This window comes from Homo sapiens, chromosome 14 (assembly GCF_000001405.40).
Source record: "Homo sapiens chromosome 14, GRCh38.p14 Primary Assembly".
NCBI classification, from domain to species: Eukaryota; Metazoa; Chordata; class Mammalia; order Primates; family Hominidae; genus Homo; species Homo sapiens.
Window position 1 is genome coordinate 55,440,983 of NC_000014.9, and position 8,205 is coordinate 55,449,187.

At 42.2% G+C, this 8,205-nt stretch overlaps 1 protein-coding gene across 1 annotated transcript in view, besides 4 other annotated features; it reads left to right on the forward strand.

Annotated features, from left to right (window-relative positions):
* The window catches only part of FBXO34 (F-box protein 34), a 171,629-nt gene extending 169,562 nt beyond the window's left edge, over nt 1-2,067 (forward strand). The window contains exon 5 of the transcript XR_007064023.1: nt 1,845-2,067. The gene's annotated coding sequence lies outside the window, so the exon portion shown is untranslated. The remainder of the gene's footprint in view (nt 1-1,844) is intronic.
* Nucleotides 5,274-5,363: an enhancer, noted in NCBI's record as "active region_8433". NCBI's record gives its function as "activates an Ori minimal core promoter by ATAC-STARR-seq in GM12878 lymphoblastoid cells {active_cell/tissue: GM12878}" and the evidence as "EXISTENCE:reporter gene assay evidence [ECO:0000049][PMID:35858748]".
* Nucleotides 6,438-6,938: an enhancer, noted in NCBI's record as "H3K4me1 hESC enhancer chr14:55914138-55914638 (GRCh37/hg19 assembly coordinates)". NCBI's record gives its function as "activates a minimal SCP1, AML or CMV promoter by ChIP-STARR-seq in naive H9 embryonic stem cells {active_cell/tissue: H9 hESC(naive)}" and the evidence as "EXISTENCE:reporter gene assay evidence [ECO:0000049][PMID:30033119]".
* Nucleotides 6,438-7,902: a biological region, named in NCBI's record as "P300/CBP strongly-dependent group 1 enhancer GRCh37_chr14:55914403-55915602".
* Nucleotides 6,703-7,902: an enhancer, noted in NCBI's record as "P300/CBP strongly-dependent group 1 enhancer chr14:55914403-55915602 (GRCh37/hg19 assembly coordinates)". NCBI's record gives its function as "activates an origin of replication core promoter dependent on BRD2, BRD4, P300/CBP, MED14 and CDK7 cofactors, with strong dependence on P300/CBP, by STARR-seq in HCT116 cells {active_cell/tissue: HCT116}" and the evidence as "EXISTENCE:reporter gene assay evidence [ECO:0000049][PMID:35650434]".

Sequence of the window (8,205 nt, forward strand, 5' to 3'; positions counted from 1 at the left end):
ATTACAGGTACGCACCACCATGACCTGCTAATTTTTGTATTTTTAGTAGAGACTGGTTTCACCTTGTTGGTCAGGCTGGTCTGAAACTCCTGACCTCAGGTGATCCACCCGCCTCGGCCTCCCAAAGTGCTGGGATTACAGGCGTGAGCCACTGCACCCAGCCGTTTTTCTAAGAAACTTAAATACTAGGTTTCCACCCTGTCGCCAAGGCTGGAGTGCGGTGACAGGCGACCATAGCTCACTGCAGCCTCGACCTCCTGGACTCAAGCTCCTGCCTCAGCCTCCCTAGCAGTTGGAATTACAGGCGGGTGCCACCACGCCTGGCTAATTTTATTTTTATAATTTTTATTTTTAGTAGTGACAAGGTCTCGGTATGTTACCTAGGCTGGTCCTGGACTCTTGGTCTCAAGCCATCCTCCTGCCTCAGACTCCCAAAATGCTGGGATTACAGGCATGAGCCACTGCATTCCGCCAGGGATGTTTTTTTTCTCTTGAGCAGAGTGAGTGGAATGAGTCACCTTACCTAGTCAGGTGTAGTATTTTTACATTATCATTACTTCTCACCATCAAATCCCACGTGGTTTTTCTCCAGTCACTGAGCGTTCCGTCTAAAGCCACATACAAAACAGTGTGTTGCTGCACAGTTAGGGTTGAGGAAATCTCACGAAAATAACGCAAAACATTCAGAGAGGGTTTCTCTTTCCTGAAATCATTATTTTAATTTTCAGTGCCTGCATAAGAGCTTAACTGTGTAGAACAACTTTATAAACATAATTGATACCTTTTTTCTTTTCTTTTCTTTTTTTGAGACAGAGTCTGCTCTGTCACCCAGGCTGGAGTGCAGATCTTGGCTCACTGCAACCTCCGCCTCCCAGGTTCCAGCAATTCTTGTGCCTCAGTCTCCCGAGTAGCTGGGATTACAGGTGCCTGCCACCATGCCCAGCTAATTTTTGTATTTTTAGTAGAGACGAGTTTTCACCTTGTTGGCCAGGCTGGTCTCAATCTCCTGGCCTCAGGTGATCCACCTGCCTTGGCCTCCCAAAGTGCTGGAATGACAGGCACGAGCCACCGTGTCTGGCCTATAATTGACACTTTTTATGTAAGATACGTAAAAATGTACAGATTCCCGGGTGTGGTGGGTCATGTCTGTAATCCCAGAACTTTGGGAGGCTGAGGCAGGTGGATCACCTGAGGTCAGGAGTTCAAGACCAGCCTGGCCAACATGGTGAAACCCCATCTATACCTAAAATACAAAAATTAGCTGGGCATGGTAGTGTGCGCCTGTAATCCCAGCTACTCAGGAGGCCGAGGCAGGAGAATTTCTTGAACCTGGGAGGCCGAGGTTGCAATGAGCCCAGATCATGTCACTGCACTCCACCCTGGGCAACAGAATGAGACTCTGTCTCAAAAAAAAAAAAAAAATGTACAGAGGCAGACATAAAATACATCTTTTTTACTAGATTTTGCTCTCTGAGAGCAAGAATTTTGATAACTAATTTTAATGTCTCTGTACCAAGCTTATCTGCTCAGTAAAACTGGATGGATGAAGGAAACTGACCTTAGAACGTAGCATAGGAAGCACATTATAGTAGAGACAGCTCATTCTAAGAATCAAATCACAACAAGTCTTACAGAATTTCTAATTAAGAATAAAGGAAACATTTTGATGAGATTGGAATTTCATATAATTGCTTACGATGGTATTTAATTTAAAGGTTTGTGTTGAGATAACCTACACATTTTTTTAGCACAGTACCTGCCTAGTAGCTCAAATATTAGCTCTTAATTTTGTTATTAGACTGTTATAGACTGAATTGTTTCCCCCCAAAATTTATATGTTGAAGCCCTGATTTGATCTGACTGTTGTCCTCACAAGAAGATGAAATCTGGACACACAGAGACACCAGGGATGTTCACACAGAGAAGGCCAGGTGAGGATGCAGTGAGAAGGCAGCCATCTGCGAATGAAAGAGAGCGGCCTCAAGAGAAACCAGCCCTGCTGACACCTTGATCTTGGACTTCCAGCCTCCAGAACTGTAAGAAAATAAATTTCTGTTGTTTAAGCCACCACAGACTGTAGTATTTTGTTGTGGCAGCCCTACCAGTCTTACACATAGACTTATAAAGTCTCTCATCATATGTGGTAGGCAGAACGGTGAGATGCCCCCTAAATTCCTATCCCTAGTATATACACACCTTCTCCCAGTTATTCAAATACCAATCTAAGTGCTGCTATGCCGCACTTTACAGATGTAATTAAGGTCCCAAATCATTTGACTTTGAGAAAGAGTATCCAGGCTTTTCTTCGGTAAGCCTAACCTAATCAGGTGAGCCTTTAGAAGGAACTGGCTCTTCTTTGGGAGAGAGAGTCAAAATCTGAGAAGGATTTGCCATGAGGGAGATTTTTCATTGCTGGCTTTGAAGATAAATGGGGCCAAATATTGGAAAGAATGTGGGCAGAGCATGGTGGCTCACTCCTGTAATCCCAGCACTTTGGGAGGCCAAGGCAGTAGGATTGCTTGAGTCCAGGAGTTTGAGACCAGCATGGGCAACATAGTGAGACCTCATCTCTACAAAAAATTTTTAAAAAATTAGCCAGATGTGGTGGCATGCACCTGTAGTCCTAGCTACCTGGGAGGCTGAGGCAGGAGGATCACTTGAGCCCAGGAGGTTAAGGTTGCAGTGAAACATGATTGCGCCACTGTACTCTAGCCTGGGCAACAGAGTGAGACTTTGTCTCAAAAAATAATAATAATATTTAAAGTAATAATTAAAAAAATAAAAATCATATTGGAAGGAATGTGGGTACCTCAAGGAGCTTAGAGTGGCCCACATTTGACAGCCAGCAAGGAAATGGGGACCTCAGTCCTATGACTGCCATCAATCATGAATTGGCTTGAAAGTGGATTCTTCCCAGAGCTTCCAGAAAGGAGTTTAGCATGGCCAATACGTTGGTTTTAGCTTTGTAAAGATCCTGAACAAAGAAGCTGGCTATGCTATACTCAGATGTCTTAGAACTGCGAGCTTGTAAGTTGGCGTTTAATTGCTAAATTTGTGGTAATTTGTTACTTTACAAGAGAAAACAAATACATCAAAATTATAATAAGTAGAGACACAAATTTGCAGTGATGTGCCATGCAAATAATAGAGGAATAAAATGGTAATAAGCTCATTTGGGTAAAAGGTGTACCAACGTTCCTTATTTTTATTCCTGTAACTTTTTGTAAGTTTGAGATTGTTTCCAGGTAAAATGTTTCAAAATATAATATTAGTGATTGTTTTGTGAGTGTTTTAGTTGTTTGAGATTTATACAAGATCTTGTTTTTTTTTAAATTATTTTTTGAGATAGGGTCTTGCACTGTCACTCAGGCGGGGAGTGCAGTGGTGCGATCTCAGCTCACTGCAGTCTCTGCCTCCCGGGTCCAAGCAATTTTCCCGTCTTAGCCTCTGGAGTAGCTGGGATTACAGGCTCGTGCTACCTCGCCCAGCTAACTTTTGCACTTTTTTTTTTAAGTATAGATGGGGTTTCACCATGTTGGCCAGGCTGGTCTCAAACTCCTGACCTCAGGTGATCTGTCTGCCTCGGCCTCCCAAAGTGTTGAGATTACAGGTGTGAGCCACTGCGCCCAGCCCAAAATCTTAAGCTATTCTTTTCTGGGAATCAAAGATTGCTATGGTTTGATTGACTAACAGTTAATTGCTAGCATTTATTCAGCTCTTACTATGTACCACACGCTATTCTAAGTGTTTCACATATATGAACTCATTTAAATGTCTCGAAGACCTGGTGAGATAAATACTCTTTTTGTCCCCACGTTACAGTTGAGGATACTGAGGCACAGAGAGGTTGAGTAACTCGTCCCAGAGTGTCTGACTATGGAGTCATTTGCTATGTATTGTCCCTTACCAAAGGCTTACATAGACCATTTCAAATTAGTTTGTTTTCTTTTGAACTGTGGTGGTTATCTGTTTTGATTCTGACTTTTTTTTTTTTTTGGCTTCAGAATTTATAATATTTTATACTTTGGCAAAAAAAGAAGAAAACCGAAAAACTACTATATCCAATTCATTCTTTTCTTTCTCAATTTACTGTTGTAAAGATTAAATGCCTTAAATAGAAGCATATGTTAACTTTTTTTTTTTTTTTGATATAAGGTCTCACTCTGTTGCTCATGCTGGAGTGCAGTGGCACAATCACAGTTCACTGCAGCTTTGACATCCCAGGCTCAGGTGATCCTCCCCGCTCAGCCTCCCAAGTAGTTGGGCCTCTAGGCTTGCGCCACCACACCCAGCTAATTTTTTGTATTTTTTTGTAGAGATGGGGTTTTGCCTTGTTGCTCAGGCTGGTCTTGAATTTCTGGGCTCAAGCAATCCACCTGCCTTGGCCTCCCAAAGTGCTGGGATTATAGACGTGAGTCACTGTGCTGTGGCCATACGTAAACTTTTACTAAGCACTTTGCAAGTATGAAGTATTGTTATTAGAATCTTTAAAAGAATAATGTTAAGACAGGAGTGCATATTCATGGTCATGAAGAGTCTTGAACAGAGGTCAATTCTATGGAAAATATGGCTTTTACTCGTATTTTAAGAGGACCTGTCCCTCCTCACAGAAAAAAAAAAAAAAATATATATATATATATATATATATATATATATATATATACACACACATATATACATATAATATATATTTGAGACACTCCAGGCTGGAGTGCAGTGGTGTGGTCATGGCTCACTGCAGCCTCAACCTCCCAGGCTCAAGTAATCCTCCCACCTCAGCCTCCTAAGTATTAGTTATGACTGCAGGTGTGTACCACACACCTGTCTACAGGTGAAAACTCCCATCTCTACACAAAATTTTAAAAAATTAGCTGGAAATTAAAACAAAAATTTTTGTAGAGCTGAGGGTCTTGCTATGTTGCCCTGGCTAGTCTTGAACTTCTGGGCTCAAGCAATCCCCCCCCAACCTTGGCCTCCCAAAGTGCTGGGATTATAGGCGTGAGCCACAATGCCTGGCCTCTTCATAGACAATTTAAAAATGAACCTACATTCTACATTAAATATAATTTATATGTAACAATTTAAGAGTTGAATTGCTTATGATTAGTTGATATTTTATAGACATTTAATCAAATTCACTAATTTCAGTTTTGGAATAGAAAAAAATGTTTGGAGTCAACAGACTTTCTTAGCTCTCAAACAATTTTACTGTCCCTTGAAAAGCTCCTAAGCCCTGGGCACTGAACCTCAACCTCTCAAATGCAGTCACGTCACCACTGGGGCCTGGGATTCTCTGGCAAGAATAATGAAGATGGAAATTCAGTGTTGGAGGGATGTTGAGAAACATTGTTCACTAGGGGGCGCACTTTCATCTCCATGAGGGGAATACCTTCTGGTTTGGGGAGAAAACAAACAGCTTTGAGGGGAGAGAGGAAAAAAAAAAGGGGGGGGAGCATGCATTCCCTAAATGTTAAAGAAAAAAAGGGTAGCTACTTCTCCATGGCAGAAGACCAGAGGGTACTTCCAAAAATAAATAAGATTAGTTACTGTATCAGTCAATGTGAATATATGTGCTATTTTATACAAGGAGGTCCTATTTATAGGAGCTAAACGGAAAGTGCTTGTAGAGTAATCCACATTCACACTATCTTGATGGTTGTTAAATGTGAGGGGCAATTTCGCTGCCCAGGAAAAAACGGAAAAGAATTTGCATAAATGAGATTAGGTTTCTAGAAGCCATGTTGGGAGAGAACTTTTTTTTAATGGTGGCAATATTTGCTAAATGCAGCCTTCTCTTTCTTTTAGAAGCCATGGACATTGGGTGTGATTGATCTCTACATGGAGCTGTCAGTTTCCAGACAGTGATTTTATACACAAGAATAGGGAGGTGGATTTGAGCACTGCACAGAGGCCTTTTCTAGATCAAAATTCAATGAATTCTTGTCCTTTCAGTAATCGTTTGAAATAAAAACCCACAGTAATTCTTCCTCCCCCTTTTTGGTGGAGGTGGAGCATGAACTTCAGCATCTGGGAAGGAGCCTGTGTAATGGCTTAGTCAGGAGCTGCTGAAGCACAACACAGATAACCTTGATCTCCATAGTCTTTGCTCACCAACCCCAGTCCACTGAAAATCTTGAATCATAATGGTGCAGCTTTCCTTCTCAGGCAGTGCTATACACTGGCCATAAAGAAGACTTGCTGTGTTTAAAGTTTCTCAGGAAAATGGCTTAATTTCACGTAATATTAAAGACAAGAATTAAAATTTCACAAGTTTCTTTTTCTCCCTTGACTGATCCCTATTATTTTCTTTCTGTGTGAACATATTCCATCACAGCGTTTCTACAATAAATAATGCATTCTTTTAGAAAGCATATTATAACTGGGAAGTGTTATTTATAAGCATCGTTTTGGCAGTTGTTTCATGGAAACAGAACCAATCAATCAGCACTGATTCTGGGCAGGAGAGAGTTGCTTTACCATTTTCCACGCTGAGCACATCAGGGATGTCTGATCCCAGACAGTAGCTACCTGTCTCCTGCCACGCACAGCAAAACAGGGAGATTAGGTTTTACCGTATTTGCTTGGGAAAATATGGATGAAGATTTCAGCTTCTGTCTGCTCTGAACTCCACTTTTTTTTTTTTTTTTTTGAGACAGGGCCTCACTCTGTCGCCCAGGCTGGAGTGGAGTGGCACGATCTTGGCTCACTGCAACCTTTGCCTGCTGGGTTCAAGCAATTCTCCTGCCTCAGCCTCCTGAGTAGCTGGGATTATAGGTGCACACCACCACACCCAGCTAATTTGTTTGTATTTTTAGTAGAGACGGGGTTTCACCACTTTGGTCAGGCTGGTCTCGAACGCCTGAACTCAGGTGATCCGCCTGCCTCGGCCTCCCAAAGTGCCATGCCTGGCCTGAACTCCACTTTGTGTGCACCTGACTAGGAATGGATTTTTGTATGTGTTTGTACTTGTACTAACAATGAAAATCTTCTATATACATCTACTAGGTACCCATAAAAATTAAAAATCTTCTAGAAGACTTCGGTCTGAACCACGTATCTAGAGCACTGGCCTTCTAGAAGGCAGCTTTATAAAATAGCTCATGGGATTATGTAGGGGAAGATTATGGTGTGTGTAGAGAATTACCAGAGCCACCACTAAAGGCTTCCACAGCTCCTGTGAGGTCCTGGAGAAGCAGCAACCTTTGGGAGGAGGCCGGAGGCAGAAGTGAGTCAGCACACCTACCCAGTTCCTGAGAAGAGGCTCCCTAGGGCCACTGAGTCACTCTTCCCTTAAGCCTGGGAGTCAGCCCCTCCCCTATCCCCTTTTTTTCACTTCTATTTCAGAACCACATCAGTGCTAAGAGGTACAGTGTACAGTGGGAATAATAAAATATAATTACCATGATGACAAATCAGCAAATGATGCTGTTTATGAAAGGAATTCTTTGGATATGCTGTACTTGGAAACACCAGACTGGCAACTCTCCAAGTTGTCCTGCTTGTAAATCAAAGGGAAAACTGTTGGCAGGGAGTTTTGACCAAGACTTTTCACTTCGGGGAAGACCTGAGTACTTTCCTGCTGGTTGAATGTTGCATAGAGGAGTCACTCTTCACGACATTTCCAAACATGTCCCTGTATTGACTATCTCAAGATGACTTAGCTGTCATTCCCTCCTTCTCCCTGATATGTTCGCTCGTCCATGATTCTGTGCGAGATACTTTTTAGAATCCATGAAGGCTGCAAAGATGACTATCTTTAAGGAACTTACAATATAGTAGGGACAATATATGATAATAAAGATAAGGATAATAATAGCACATATGGATGATTTGCTATGTCTGGCTAGTGTTCTAAGTCCGTTAAAACTTCTTTTTATCAAAATAATGCTATAGGCTGGGCACAGTGGCTCACGCCTGTAATCCCAGAACATTGAGAGGCCGAGGTGGGCCGATCACCTGAGGTCAGGAGTTCAAGACCAGCTTGGCCAACATAGTGAAACCCTGTGTCTACTAAAAATACAAAAATTAGCCTGGCATGGTAGTACATGCCTGTAATCCCAGCTACTTGGGAGGCTGAGGCAGGAGAATTGCCTGTACTCAGGAGGTGGAGGTTGCAGTGAGCTGAGATCACACCACTGCACTCCCAGCCTGGGCAACAGAGAGAGAGACCCCATCTCAAAAAACAAAAACAAAAAAAACCAAAAC